Source organism: Homo sapiens, chromosome 9 (assembly GCF_000001405.40).
Source record: "Homo sapiens chromosome 9, GRCh38.p14 Primary Assembly".
Taxonomy (NCBI): Eukaryota; Metazoa; Chordata; class Mammalia; order Primates; family Hominidae; genus Homo; species Homo sapiens.
This window is the reverse complement of record NC_000009.12, coordinates 70,708,781-70,725,022: the sequence shown is the minus strand read 5'-3', so window position 1 is coordinate 70,725,022 and position 16,242 is coordinate 70,708,781. Positions and strand designations below refer to the sequence as shown.

Sequence of the window (16,242 nt, the reverse complement as noted above, 5' to 3'; positions counted from 1 at the left end):
CTGCCAGCCCCACCTCAATTTGAATTTGCATTCTCCATTAATGTGGTTATAATGCTGGCCCTGGTCAAAGTCCCATCGTAAGTCTCCTGTTTCCTGGGTATAATACAAACATCAAGGTCACATACAAGCCAGCTGTTGACTAACAAAACAGTGAACTATTATTGAAGTAGCCTTGGGCCACTGTACAGAGTATTCTTTACATGCAACAAAAGCTATGTTGGGGACAATGTCAGAAATCAATTAGAACCACCAAAGATAATCTTTCATTCTCTCTCTCATACAAGCTCTATTTCACTTTGTCTTTCTTTTCCTTTTGAATTGTTTTGCAAGCAGTATTACCAATAAATCTATATCTGATCAGAAGTGGTTCATTTTGTAAAATATTATTGAAATCAAATTATTGATAAATAAGTATATTTTTATTGTTTGAACTGTTGGTACCTAGAGAAATGGTATCTTCTTGACTGCTTTGCCTCTCATTAGTATTTACATTTTTAAAAATTTTTTAAATTACTTTTTCTATGCATTTGGGAGCAAGAAATATAGCCCTTGGATTTTGTTGGAGCCAAAATACTGGAAAATATAAGGAAAAGCTTGTTTTTACAGGAGAAGACACACTCTCTAGCCCAAAGCCTAATTTTAAGCAGTTTATAGCCCCCATAACTAGCATTTACTCTGCATGGAAAGATATTTGAGGAAGAGGGCAACTACTGAGGGAATGAAGGATTTACAGTAGCAGTTGTTGGAATAACTGGACCTCAGCCTGTCCAACATTCTCCCAGATTTATAACACAAAATTACCATATCAGAATGAGACTCCAGGGAGCTAAAACAACCGATTGACAAGCTGTTCTGCTTCCTGTTAAGGCTGAGCTAGGTTTCTCTCCTTCTGGACCCTAAAACATTCAAAACTAGGCCAAGTTTTTAAGCCCCTGGTGGAAATTGCCTGCTTATTACCATTTCATCATTTTGTCATTATAAAAAAGCAAACACAGGGAAGTTATTTGCATAAAACAAGACAAAACAGTTACTCTTATGCTCCTGTTTCTGCTATCAGCTCTTAACACCTCACGGTAAATTTTTATTTATATTAAATGTTAACCTGACCAACTCATATTCTGTATTGGTCACTTCATAGAAACTTAAAGGACAGGCAACAGAGCATCACCAAAGGAAAGAAACTGTAGAGATCATTAAGATTAAATCTACCCCTTCAGTTACAGATGAGGAAACTGGGACTTTAAATAATGACAACAATAGCAACAACATTTACTGAACACTTTCATTATCCAGGTTACTTTTTAAGCCCATCTATTAAGTTAGTCCAATTTCTCCAAGTATATACCAGGGTCTTTTTAAACTGTTTTTGTGCATATTAATTTATTTTTCTCACAATTTATGAAGGAGATAGTGTTTTCATCTGTAAAACAAGAAGTTACAGCCAGGCACCATGGCTCACACCTATAATCCCAGCACTGTGGGAGGCCAAGGCTGGAGGATCACTTGAGGCCAGGAGTTCAAGATCAGCCTGGGCCACAGAGTGAGACCCCATGTCTACAAATAATTTTGTTTTAATTAGTCGGGCAGGGAGGTGCATGCCTATGGTCCCAGCTACTAGGGAGGCTGAGGCAAGAGGATCGCTTAAGCCCAGGAGTTCAAGGTTACAGTGAGCTATGATTGCACCACTGCACTCCACCCTGGATGACAGAGCAAGACCCTGTCTCAAAAAGAAAGGAAAACAAGAAGTTAGATGACTTGCTCAAGGCAAGAGCCACTTAAGTGGCCTGATATATTATATTGTTATACATTATTATATTATTTATATTGTTATTTATATTAAATTATATTAAATATATATTATAATAAAATTATATTGTTATATAAGAAATAATAAATATTATATGTTGAAACATAAGTTTCAACATATGATGTTTATTTTTTATTTTTACAGAAATCCATTTTTCTAAAAGCTTCTATGCATTGTCTGTTTCATTCAAGAGTATCGCAATAGGTCCATTATATGTTACTGAGGAAAATCAAGGACAAAATATGCTATATTCCATGTAATAAAGATCCTCTGATTTCATAAGATATTGCATTGAAATATCATCCCCACATCTGAAGAAAGTGTTAAGAAAATATCTGTTGAATCAAAATCTGAATTTCAGTCTTAGAGTCATAATATGGATCATCTTGATTCAGTGACCATATTTTGGAAGCTAAAAATTTAAAATAGATGGTCTTGGATGTGAGCTAAAAACTGGAGAGAATATTTGAAGCGGGGATTATTCCGGGAAATTCCATTTTTATCATCAGTGTGTGTGTGTGTGTGTGTGTGTGTGTTTAATGTGTATATGTGATAAATGTATTTGATGTGTGTTTAAGTGTGTGTGAATGTAAATGTAAAATGACTTCTTAAAACCTGATGATTTTAGAAACCATAGGTAAAGCCCAATAACAATTTGGAGTAGGAGTGAGAACAAGAGCATCCAATATTCTTTCACAAGGCAGTATTTGTACATTACCAGCTCCTCCCTGATTGTATGCCAGTTCCAGAAATGTCTTTTTTCCAAGTCCATATCAGAAAGTTAGGATCAGTCACTGTAAAAAGGTATGTTTAGGACAATTGTTTCAGAAAACTGCTAAAATATGCTTTTCTGTTAAGTGACTTGTGAGTTCTTTCCCAGTCCTTGCCACGTTGACACGGGTGGTTCTGTGATTGCTGAGTGTGTTCAATGAAGCAATGCTTGAAAAACAATTGAAACTCTGAGTTGATTGGGCCTACAACAGCAGTCTGCTTGAAATTACAAGCTGGGCTCCTTGAAATGAAACTTGTCATGCCCAGCAAAGCTGTTGACTGCCTCTCACCTCTGGGAATTTTTGGAGGAACTGAACTAGCCTGATGGATAGGTTCTAAACACCAAGCAACTTGGAAAATGTCCCCAAGCCTGCCCCTCTTTCAAAGCATCCAGGATGCTTGTGGCTGTGGGTTGTTTTCCTTGTTAGTCCCTGGCAGCATGGTAGTTATGCTTTGGGTAGCCTTTCGTTTAAAGAGGAGGAGATGGGCCTGCGCGGCAGCTCTCACCTGAAATCCCAGCACTTTGGGAGGCCAAGGAGGGCAGAACGCTTGAGCCCAGGAGTTCAAAACCAACCTGAGCAACATAGTGACACCCCATCTCTACTTTTTTAAAAAATTAATTATATATGTTTTTAAAAGATGATGAGATAATTGATAAGTTAATGTCCTCAGCAATTATAGGGCTTACCATTCACATATTTCTCCTTCTGAAAAAGAATTCTTCTTCCAGTTACCCAATTTATTTTAGGGACTGCCTTACTTGTCTCAAGCCTTAAGCCCATGGAGTTCTCATATTTGGCTAGAACGTGGCATTAGCTGCTTTTTAGACTGACACCATAATTATGAAGAGCCACTAAAATGGTATTTTCTCAAACAGACCCTACTGCCTAATAAAAGCTAGGTTTTTCTTTTCTAAAGAGTGAATAAAAACGAAACCTCATTTATTTTCAAGGAATTAGAATTGTCTATTATACCTGGTATAAACCCATGAATTTTCTTTTCATTCAGAATTTTAGGGACCTATTGAGTAGTACTTAATTTTGTAATTGTCCTCACTGCTAAATTTAGCTACTAAAAAATCCTATTTTTTTATTTGAAATAACCATGGCTCCAAAAATGTCTCTATTAGGTACATCTTACTCATCACCTAAAAATTATATTTGCTCTTTTAGCTAATAAAATTGCTGTAATAATGAAATTTTTGAGGTTATAAACTTTGAGCTTCACCTACCTATAGTTTCTACTGTGTAGAAACAAAAAATCATGGTGTCCTTAAAGTTTAGTAAAAAAGGGATGATTAAATTTCATCTACCCAGTATCTACCCAGTCATCCAAAATTTGAGATAAAGGGCACAAGTGATCCTAAAGACAGGCACAGTGTATACAAACACACACACACACACACACACAGTCTCCCCAGGCCTTCACACAATGCCTGACACTTTAAAGGCTCTTCGTTAATACATTTGAAAGGGCGGGAAGAAATAAAGAAGGAGAAAACATAACCAGCTGAAGTGCAGGGTTTGTATGAGACAGGGACTAAGCATTTGAATGTTTCTCGAATGTTTGTATGCCTCTACCTGTACATAACTTTCAAGCTAAGGAGTACTTTCCTGCAATGGACTGACAAGGGAGAGGTTAAAAAGGAAAGAAACATCTCTCACTGATGTCCATAAGTGAATAGCAAAGTGACAGACTCAAAGACAGGCACGGGACAGAAAATAATTACGTTGTACTTTGTGCAACTGTTGCCTCACTTAAATGCAGCAGGTTTGTAATTTCTAGCTAAAAATATACACCTTTTCATGCTATTTTACCAAGCCAACTTTTTGGAATTCGACTTTCTTTAACAGCTTGCTTTATTCCATGCTAGTTCTACTTGTGGGCATTTAGAGAATTCTCTACTGAAAAGGCAAAGTTTAAAAGAGATGATGATCAGTGATAAAATACATTTGAATAATGTGACCAGTCAGTAGGTGCTCTTGCCAAAGGATTAGAGAGCAAGTTCAAGTCTGTAGTGTAGGCCTGGCTCTTTCTTTATAACTAAGATTCTTTTTACCCTGTCCTGTAAATTGATGGTTTTCCAGGAAATAAGAGGAGATTGAATTCTGTACTTTAGAGAACAAAGAGGAAGTTGACAAACTGTCATGGTTCTTTTCTTCCCACCGGTAGTGGGCTTTTCTTTCAAGGGTCCATTGAGTAGAGGAATGAACTATACAAAATAAGGGGAAGTGTGGCTCCAGTGACAAAGCAGCTGCTTAATGTGGCCCCAAGGGCCAGCAGGCCTCTCTGATGACCACACAGGCTCTGTTGCTGCTCAACCTGTTGTTCTCTCAGTAGGTTCTTTACTTGCTCAAAAATAGTGACCATTGAAATTAATATGGAATACTACCTCTGACCTCATTGAGGCTTTCACTCATTCCCCTTCTGTCCCTCCACAAAATCCAAATGAGTGGAGAGGCCTGCCACAGACTACACAGCATGGGAATTCTAGCCATGTGACTTTCAGTAGATAGTCTACCTTTTTAAATCTGTGTTATCCCTACTGGAATAAGAATGATAATACTGAACATCACTGGGAAGATGTAGACTCACACATGTACAATGCTTAGAGGAGCGGTGGACACTGCAGTTGCTTTCATTACTGTTATTTAATGTCCCTCTTTGAATTTTTTAACTGCTGTTGCTTTAAAGTTTGTTTTGTCTGATATAAGAATAGCTATTCCTTGTCGCTTTTGGTGTCCATTTGCATGGAATATTTTTTTCCACTCCTTTACCTTAAGTTTATGTGAGTCCTTATGTGTTAGGTGAGTCTCTTGAAGATAACAAATACTTGGTTGGTGAATTCTTATCCATTCTGTGTCTTTTAATTGGAGCATTTAGACCATTTACATTCAACATTAGTATTGAGATGTGAGGTACTATTATATTCATCATGCTGTTTGTTGCCTGAATACCTTGTTGTTGTTATTGTTGTTCTTGTTGTTTTCAGTGTGTTTTTGTTTTATAGGTCCTTTGAGATTTATGCTTTAAAGGAGTTCTCTTTTGGTGTATTTTCCAGAATTTGTTTCAAGATTTAGAGCTCCTTTTAGCTGTTCTTGCAGTGCTGGCTTGGTAGTGGTGAGTTCTCTCAGCATTTGTTTGTCTGGAAAAGACTGTATCTTTCCTTCATTTATGAATCTTAGTTTCGCTAGATGCAAAATTCTTAGCTGATAATTATTTTATTTAAGGAGGCTAGATATAGGGCCCCAATTTCTTCTAGCTTGCAGGATTTCTGCTGAGAGATCTGCTGTTAATCTGATAGGTTTTCCTTTATAGGTTACCTGATGCTTTTGCCTCACAGCTCATAAGATTATTTCCTGCATCTTGACTTTAGATAACCTGATGACGATGTGCCTAGGTGATGATCTTCTTGTGATTAATTTTTCATGTGTTCTTTGAACTTCTTATATTTGGATGTCTAGATCTCTAGCAAAGCTGGAGATGTTTTCCTCAATTATTTCCTCCAATGTGATTTCCAAACTTTCAGATTTCTCGTTTTCCTCAGGAACGCCAATTATTCTTAGGTTTCGTCATTTAACATAATCCCAAACTTCTTGGAGGCTTTGTTCATTTTTTAAAAATTCTTTCCTCTTTGTCTTTGAATGGACTAAGGTAATTCGATAGCCTGTCTTTGAGCTCTGAAGTTCTTTCTTCTACTTGTTTGATTCTGTTGCTGAGACTTTCCAGTGCATTTTGCATTTCTCTAAGTGTGTCCTTCCTTTCCAGAAGTTGCTTTTGTTTTTTATTTATGCTATCTATTTCACTGAAGAGTTTTCCCTTCACATCTTATATCATTTTTCAAATTTCTTTGAGTTGGACTTTACCTTTCTCTGGTGACTACCTGATTAGCATAATAATTGACATTTTTGAATTCTCTTTCTGGCAATTCAGATTTCTTCTCGGTTTGGATCCATTGCTGATCTTTTGGGGGTGTTAATGAACTTGTTTTGTTTTGTCATATTACCACAATTGTTTTTCTTGTTCCTTCTCATTTGGGTAGACTATTGCAGAGGGAAGATCTGGGGCTCAAGGGCTGCTGTTCAGATTCTTTTGTCCCGCAGCGTGCTCCCGTGATATAGTATTCTCTCCCTTCCTCTAGGAAAGGGGCTTCCAGAGAACTTAACTGCAGTCATTGTTATTTCTCTTCTGGATCTAGCCGCCCAGCAGAGCTATGGGGCTTCAGGTACTGGGGAGTGTTTGCACAGAGTCCTGTGATGTAAACCGTCTTCAGATCTCTTGGTCATGGATACCAGCACCTGCTCCAGGTGGGGTGGCAACGGAGTGAAGTAAACTCTGTGAGGGTCCTTGGCTGTAGTTTTGTTTATTGTGCTAGTTTTGTGTTGGTTGGCCTCCAGCCAGGAGGTGGTGCTTTCAAGAGAGCATCAGCTGCGGTAGTATAGGTAAGATCAGGTGGTGGGCAGGCCCATAGAGTTCCCAAGAGATTATGCCCTTTGTCTTCGAGTTTTTCAGCTGTCTCTATGGGCCTGCAGCAGCAATCTGCTTCCTTCAAAGGGTCTGTGGATGCTGTCAGCTTTCCTGATGTGTTTTTGTGGTAGTTCTTGGAGCAAAAGCTCACAGTGTGAGTCTCCACACACTTCTCTATCTGTCTGACAGGAGCTGCAAGTTTGTCCTGCCTCCTATCCACCATTTGTTTCAGTCAGATATATATTGAATCAAAGATCACTATGAGGAACTGAAGAAAACTTTTGATAGACAGGTAAAGGGATGGGACTGTAATGCACAGGAAAGCAGGACCAGAATAGAAACATGTTGCAGCTAGTGGAGATACTTATCATGCCCATGAAAGGACTGTTTTGCAGAAGGAGTTCTAATTTTATTGTTTTCTTTCACTGGTTTGAGCCAATAGCCCATAAAGAGTATATAATAAATGTTGGTCTTAAGAAATAATCATCCGTCTCCCCTATAAATTCAAATATCACTTTTTCTTTTAGGTACCCATAACACCAATCACAGCAGATAACATTTGCCCAGCCACAGACATGATGTGATAATGTCCTATGCATTGCCTTCTTCAATCCCTAGGATAATCTTTCCACACTAGAGTGATCATGGTCCTCATTTTCCTGAGATAGCCCAGTTTGTGCTTGTGGCCCAGCGTAACTATTAATAGCAGCCCTCCACTTACAAAGGTATCCTGACTTAAATTATAAATTATATGGTCATCCTGCTATTATCTGCATTTTACAGATGAGGAAACCAAGGCACAGTAACATCCCCAAGGAACACAGCTGAAAGGGACAGTAAGTTTCAGAGCATGCTCTCCTGAGCCCTATACTATTAGGATACAAAGTTTATGTCTGCTACAAAATGGCATGCAACTTAAAAAAAGAGCAGGCCTTATACATTTTTGTGTCCCCTTACTACACCTAGCACAGTGACTTTCCACAAAATTGGTGTTCAATAGATGTAGTAAGAATGAATGAGAATAAATAAGTCTTTCCTAAATCCTCCATTAGGAAAGAATATTGTAGGGATGTCCCATCTTCAATCTTTATAGCACTATAGATTCTTGGTGAATTTCCCAGGTATAAGGGGCAGAACACAGACTCCCCAATGTATTTGTTTGGGAGATATACAAGCCCTTGACTCCTTTTTCAGTTGTTAAATACAGTAGACCCTATAGGATAGGGATAGACTCTCTTATCCTAAGTGACAACCTATTCCCAAATAGGGATTTTTCTCATATACACAGGCCAGTGTTACTCCTCCAGTCAATTGAGTAACAATTCTTAGCTCAAAGACCCTGAAAACTCAAAAGTCTTTAGGGAGTTCTGTGAAACCTCTGAAAATGCATGCAAGATTTGGAGTGTGCTTGCATATCATAGGAAGATGAATACAGTCCTCAGATTCCCCAAGGTATCAATAACTCTCAAGAGTTAAGAACCACTGCTCTGGGGTCCTCTCCGTGGTAGCAACTAAGTTAAAATCACAGAAGCCATAAACTCCTCATAGTCCTCAGAGGTGCCACATTTGGATAAATATTTAATGTTCTTTAAGCATGTTTTAAGTGTTCAAACGTACACATTTCTCATTAACAGTTTTTTTAGAGGTAATCTCTTCCACACAAAACAGTCAATTGTGCATTTTAGGAAGTCATCAGCTTATAAATGGGCTGTGATCCAGGGATCTATTTACAAACCGGAATCAATTTTCTCATCAAGCAATGTAAATAATTAAGCAAAAGTCTCATTTGCTATAAAGACACTGGGAACAAGAAACCAAGAAATGTGGTAGGAAGAAGAAAGAGATTGCCACCCCCTTCCTCGGGACAGGATTGATTCCAGAAAATAAAAAATAATAGGCAATGTTTCTTTTCAGAACCTGTTCCCTCTTCTGCAGCATTGCTCCCAGGGTACCCCCAAAATCCCTAGAGACACACTAACAGGACTTCCCCATCATCCTTCCCCAGCATTACCCGTCTCCCACGTCCTGCAGCTCCATTTCCTCACCACAAACGAACTCACCTAGGAATCTGGAGGCTAGTGGCATTATTAAGTTCACACTCATGTATGTGGGACTGATGGCTCTTTGACCTCATAATGTGCTTGTACTTTCAGCAGAGGACACATATTGATCCAAAGGAATGACTGATTGGGGGTCAAGGCAGTATGACAAAGTCAAGGGGAAATACAGGTCAGAGGGGTTAGGAAGGGGTGGGAATGCCACATAAAATGCCGAATCTTCTTAGCAATCTCCTTCTATGCAACTCATATTCCAATCATTCCCAAACTCTGCTTCCTTCAGCATCTCCAGTGTGGGTAAGGGTAAGGAGAATAATGGAGACTGAACATAAAGGACCCTGGGCCACTCTTCTTCTGTTTTAAATTTATTTTAGTTCTCTAACCCTTCCCAGTAAAACTAATTTGACTAAAGGACACAAAACTAAAGTTTGGAAATCACTGCTCCAAAATAAACAGATATTTTCCAGCTTATTCCCTTTCTCCACTTCTGATTCCACAATATTTGTTCAAACCTATAAGTTTTGTTGCATTTTTCACCCGTTGTATTTTAGTAGAGGGTTGAGAAGAAAATAGACAGGAAGGAGCTAGGGAAACTATCTATATGCATAGATTACTTGTAAGCCAGGTGTCTGAAAACCAGATACTTTGTGCTTTCTCTTCCTTGCTAATCAGTTGACATAAAATACCTCCTATTATTTGAATACATTCATCTACACTTTCTTCTATATCAATATTTATGCTTCATCTTGTTAGAGGTGATGCTTAGTAAATGAATACATTCATCAGATTTCAAGGTTTCAGCCAAGTGCGTTGGCCTGATGTAGAGCTCAATATATCAGTCTCTCAATATATTACCTACCTTCATCAAACCCAAACCTTGATCTGAGAAAATTATCCTAATTGGGGAAGATATATGTATACTGCCTAAAGACTATCAATCACTTTATCATTTATCTTTGGCTTTTTATCTGTTTTACTTAACCATCTTCTCCCTTGAAGGGTATTTAAATGTTTTACCAGCTAACCTCTCCTTTATATTAAATACCATTTCTCTTCTTTCACCTTCTCATCTGACTTTCTGTGTTTCCTTTATTCTACTGCCCAATTCCACTGGCTTTTTTTTTCTATTATTATTATACTTTAAGTTCTAGGGTACATGCGCACAATGTGCAGGTTTGTTACATATGTATACATGTGCCATGTTGGTGTGCTGCACCCGTTAACTCGTCATTTACATTAGGTATATCTCCTAATGCTATCCCTCCCTCCTCCCCCCCACCCCACGACAGGCCCCAGTGTGTGATGTTCCCCTTCCTGTGTCCAGGTGTTCTCATTGTTCAATTCCCACCTATGAGTGAGAACATGCAGTATTTGGTTTTTTGTCCTTGCAATAGTTTGCTCAGAATGACGGTTTCCAGCTTCATCCATGTCCCTACAAAGGACATGAACTCATCCTTTTTTATGGTTGCATAGTATTCCATGGTGTATATGTGCCACATTTTCTTAATCCAGTCTATCATTGATGGGCATTTGGGTTGGTTCCAAGTCTTTGCTATTGTGAATAGTGCCACAATAAACATACGTGTGCATGTGTCTTTATAGCAACATGATTTATAATCCTTTGGGTATATACTCAGTAATGGGATGGCTGGGTCAAATGGTATTTCTAGTTCTAGATCCTTGAGGAATCACCACACTGTCTTCCACAATGGTTGTAAGAATTCCCTTTGAAAACTGGCACAATTCCACTGTTTGTTATGGGCACATGGCTATCAGCTGTGGTGGCCAATACTCATGCCTTGCCAGAGCTGGCCTCTCATGGTCATTTCCATAAAGATGTGTCTGCTTCTGACTGAGGCTTCATTCACCCCCATCCCTGTGGGCCATAATGTTGCCCTGCAGCAAACACATGATTATAGTGTTCTTTTTTAATTCATAGAAACATAGACACATTCAGAGGTTTCGAGCGTTAAGAAACTGAATAGCAGTGGTTCCGCATCTTTGGTTGCACATTCGAATCACCTGGAAGCTTTAAAAAATACTGATGCCTGGATCCCACCCCTAGAGATTCTGATGTAATTGGCCCGAGGTATGGCCTGAGTGTGAAAGATGTTAAAATCTCCCCAGGTGGGACTTTCTGATCTAAGAAAATTCTTGCATCAGCACCATTACCACTTACACATTGTATTTGCTACTGTGCCTTTGGGCCTAAGAGAAGGCCTGCTACAATTTGCCACAAAAAGATGGGCTTAATTTTTCTTGAAAAAGCTCTAAAAACTCATTTATATGAAACCCCTCATTTTCCAAGGATACTACCAAATGAAGCAACATTGCACATTGAGAGCAGGCCTGGTGGATGTTGGGGCAGAGAGAGAGAGCATAATTAAGTGAAATTGACTCTAAATGACTTAATTTTCAATATTGTGATCACATCTTTCTCCAAGCACTTGGCCATGATATAACAAGTGGTGAGAATGCCCACCTGGGATTCACCACCACATCACATACGAAAGATGAGATATTCAATAATAAGAGACAGAAAAGAGGGAGAAGCACTCACTGACCAGAGAAGGGAAGGGAAGAGAAAAAGGGAAGAAAGAATAAATTAACACCTAGCATGCCAATTGCTTTTTGTACTCATATCTTCCCCCACAACACTAAGAGATAGATAATGTTGTTCCTATTTTTAGGGACAAAAAAAAGTGTCTGGAGAAGATAAATAATTTGCTAGAGGTCATTCAGCTGTTATGTCATTCAGTGGCATGGTTTGGCCGATGCCTACCTCTCCTGTCTTGCTGTTATCATCCTATCAAAGACCACTGCCCTAATTTTGAAGGTGAGACCAGAAGCAGAGAACATAGACTCTCTAAATAGGAGTGAAATCAAGTTCTCTTGCTACTTCCCACCAACCTGGTTCCAGTGGGAGAGAGGTCAGGTCCCCACCAGGGTGAGTGGGGATTACAGCTTTCAGCTCCAGGTGGCAGCAGGCTAACTTAAAAAACGAGAAGTGGAGCTTCAGTTTTCCTGGAACCCTCCAAGGGGCCACACTGCAGTTTTATTTGGTCAATGGAGAAACAGAAATTTTGTCAGCAGGGTCTGGCAGGTGCAGCAGGAATGCAGACTGGAGTGTGAGTCCTTTCATCAGACCCCAGGGTGTGGGCTGCAGGCTACTTTTACTCTGGAGCTAACAGGAAGACAGCTTTGGCTCCTGTGGAGAACAGCAGATAATTCACCATAATGCACCATCCTCTCACAGAGCAACACTAAGATATGATCGAATGCTAATGATTCCAATATAGGCAAACTATTGCATTACAACAAAATAGCTTCATTTTACTTCCAAGACTGTTGGGGGAAGACTAATAACCAAAGGGAGAAACCTTCTTACAACATGGCATGTTCTTGTGACAGGTTCTCAAGAGAGACTTTCCCCAGGAATAACTGCCAGTCCTTTCATCCTATGTGTCTCTCGTGTTCTGGCACTGGTCTCTCATCTCAGCCACTCTGGTATTCAGTACCTCAAACACACCAAGTTTTGTTTGGCCTCAAACATTTGCTAACATCCTTTCTTCTACCTGGAACCCTTCCCTCCAGCCTTCACATGTCTGGCTCCTTCATATTCTTCTTTCTCAGCTTGTACATCACCTCCTCCAGGAAGCCTTCCCTGATCACTCTATATAAAGCAGTTTCCCCTTTCCTTCTTCTCTTCCTTTCATAGTGACACTTATCATGCTTAGCACTTCTCTTATATTTTTACATTTGCATGTGTTTTTACCTGTCTGCACCTTTTGCCTCTAAGGAGGCATATCTATCTTGCCCATCATATCACCCGTTTCTAGATTCAAAGAAGATGCTCAGTTTAACAATTTGCTCAATAAATTAATAAGTGAAGCCCAGGTCGTTCATATCTGATGCGGTATTTTCTCTCCTGACTCCCCTTTTTAAAGTTACTATTTATAGAGGAATCTTTCGGGCCCTATGCTTTGTACTTTGCACCTATTTCACTTAAGACTCAAAACAACCCTATATCATAGATATTATTTATCCAGTTTTACAGATTAATAACCTAAGATTTGAGAAATTAAGATTTTTTGCCTAAGCCAACACCATAACTGAAATATCCAGGATTTAAGCACAAATGTGTCTAATTCCAAAGTTTTTGCTCTTTTCACTCTGTGACACTAAGGAAAAAAAGACACTGTTAGAGAGGATGGATAATCTTTCTGAAGAACTGAACAACAATGATGCCTTTACTTTATCTCCCTTCCTCTCCTTTTATTTGTGCATTTCTCCTCCAAGCACCCACATTTCACATTGCCAAAAACATGCACGATCACTGGCAGAAAGCAAGGAAATAATTCCTGTCAGAGATAGCACTTCCTGGAAACAGTGAAGTCAAAAAGCCACTTTGAATGGCAAGTTTCTTTTCTATGACTCTCATGGAAATCTCCTCTCTTAATGCCTATATTTCCGGTGCCTCATTGCAGGTGTAGGCACATCATACCCAACCCTGCATCATCAGAGAGATGCCTCTGGACTGGCTGAGAGCACTGGGGGAAAGGTACTCTGCCCAGAAAACACACCCACCAGCATCTCAAAACTCTGGGCTTATAAGTGTCAACTTGCAACTTCCATTATGGACAAAAAGAAAAGTGACTGGAGGAGAGGACCCCAATCCTAACACAGATAGAGCTTGAAAGTGCCAGGACTAGTCTTCAGCTTCAAATGCCAATGTTCCAGCTCTGGCTAAGACATAGTGTTTCTGGACAACCCAGTTTCTATCCAGTCCTCAATCATCTACCATCCATGAGCCATAATCTCTGTCTTCCTCTGCCATTGGTCCTCAAGGCTCTCCATGCCCACCGCGCCTGATTTATTTCCTTGTGTGAGTTGATTTTGTCATTCTGCCAGCTTAGCAGTACTTGATAGGTTTCTCAACCCCAATAGGATCAGTCAGAGGGCTCAGAGCAAAGGTTTTCTGATACTACCTTATAATATGCCAACTAACTCTCAGATGTCCTCTGGGCACAGGCACACAGAGGGCCAGAAAGCAGAGCAGATGCCAGGCACAGCACATATCATACACAAATAAACCGGGGCATATGCAACCGAAACTCACTGCGAAAAATTCAAGATGGACATGTATATCTTTTGAAAGCCAAATCATCATTCAAAGCTATAAAGTATAGAACACTGAATGGACATCTAGGATGTACTCAGGAACTGCTAGTGACATCCATGAAGTAGGCTTCAGCTTGAAACATTCATTCATATTCTACTCACATCCCTTCTAAGTCACATATGGCAAGATGAAGTCTCTGCCTATTGCCTGCAATAGACTTCTATTTATCAAACTACTTCTACAATCATTCATTCCAGAAACACTTATAGAGTGCCTGCCACCTGCCAAGCACTATTCTAGGGGCTAGGGATACAACAGTACCTGTCCTCATTCAGCCTACATTCTAACAGAGAAGAGATTGTAAATAAAGAAGAAAATAAATATATGGAAAGGTACCAGGCAATAATATGTACAATGAGAAAAAAAATTAAAAGAAGAACTTAATAGGTGCAGAGCAATGAGATGGGATGGGATAGGACGAGGTGGGGTAAACCTCAGAGAGGAGGAGCTCTCTATTCACTGCTGTTCCCCCAACACCTAGAACAGCACCTAGCTCAGAGTGAGTGAGAGTATAAAAAGGGGGATTGGAGAAGCCCTCCCTGAAGATGTGATACTTAAAGATGAGAACCTAGTACTAAGTGAGGGAGCCAGCTGCCAAGCAAAGATCTGACGGCAAAATATTCCAGGGAGACGGAGGAGTGGGTGCAAAGGCTCTGAGGCAGGAACATGCCTGTCGTGTCTGAGACACAGCAAGAAGGCTGGTGTGCCTGGAGAAAAGCAAGTAAGGCCGGCAGTGATAGGAGATGATGCTGGAGAAGCAGAACATGATAAATAGTTTAGGTTTTATTCTGAGTGGGATGAGAAGCCATTAGATGGTTTTGAGCAGAGTAATAATATGATCTAATTTAGAGTTTTAAAGGATCATTCTGGCACCTGCCAAATATATAAACTAGGAGATCATTTAGGAGACTACAAAGTAATGCAGGCATTACACTCCAGTCCAGTGTAGGTGCTGTGGGCTGAGCTAAGAGATGGTGAGAAGTGGTTGGACTGGAAATCAAGTTTGAAGGTGGAGGCAACAGGACTTGCTGTAGATGATGGGTATGAGGTAAAGAGAAGAGTTCTGGATTATTTCAAGGGTGATTGGGGAAAATGGAGTTGCCTTCTAATAAACCAGGGAAGCATGGGGAAGGGGTGGATTTTTGAGGAAGTGGAAACAAGAGTTTTGTTTTGGACATGATAATTTTTAGATGCCTACTGGACATCCAGATAGTAATAAAGGAGGCGGTTGGATTTATGACCTGAACTTCAGGGAGAAATCGGAGTAGGAGATACGAATTTGAGACCAATTAGCATATAGACTGTATTCCCACCATGGAAGATAATGCGCTTACTGAGGAGGGAATGTGGGTGGAGCAAGGAACAAGAGCTGAAACCCAAGCACTGTGACATTTATAGATGGGAGAGAGAAGGAGGGCCCCACAAAGGAGACCTGAAAAGAAGCAGCCAGTGAGATGGAAAGAAGACCAGAAAGATGTGATGTCCTAGAAGCTAAGTGAAAAAAGAACTTCCAGGAGAAGGAAACCATCTTGTGCTAATATATCACATACTAAAAGGAATAAAAATTTGCCACCAGATTTAGCAAGATGGAGTTCACTGATGACCCTGAGAAGTACGGTTTCAGTAGTGTTACGGAAACAAATCCTGAATAGAGGCCATTCAACAGAAAATGAGACTGGAGAAAGGACACAGAAGAGATTCTGCGCTATAGGAAAAGAAAAACTAAGGGAAGAAGCTGAAGGAGAATAGACAGCAAGAGATGATATCACAATACTCTTGTCCATAAAAAAATATACCATGGTCTTCAATACTATTCTATCAGTATTGGAAGACACACGACTCTGGGGAATCTGAAATAGTCAAACCTGTAGAAGCAGACAGCACAGTGGTGGTTGCCAGGGGCTGCAGAGAGGGGGAAATGGTGAGTTGCTAGTTAACAGGAACTTACACAAAATAAG

The 16,242-nt window shown here is 39.8% G+C and overlaps 1 protein-coding gene and 1 long non-coding RNA gene across 20 annotated transcripts in view, besides 1 other annotated feature; one reads left to right on the top strand and one right to left on the bottom strand.

Moving 5' to 3' along the window:
- TRPM3 (transient receptor potential cation channel subfamily M member 3) overlaps positions 1-16,242 on the top strand; it is a 917,912-nt gene that overhangs the window by 721,949 nt on the left and 179,721 nt on the right. The gene's annotated exons all lie outside the window — the stretch shown is intronic.
- Positions 5,229-16,242: part of a sequence alteration artifact (region identified as an assembly artifact by the Genome Reference Consortium. This region falsely duplicates sequence located at GRCh38 chr9:70719795..70737787) that runs on past the window's edge.
- LOC105376078 (uncharacterized) overlaps positions 6,565-16,242 on the bottom strand; it is a 49,773-nt gene continuing 40,095 nt past the window's right edge. Inside the window, exon 6 of the long non-coding RNA XR_007061573.1 lies at positions 6,565-12,310. This is a non-coding gene — a long non-coding RNA (uncharacterized LOC105376078). The remainder of the gene's footprint in view (positions 12,311-16,242) is intronic.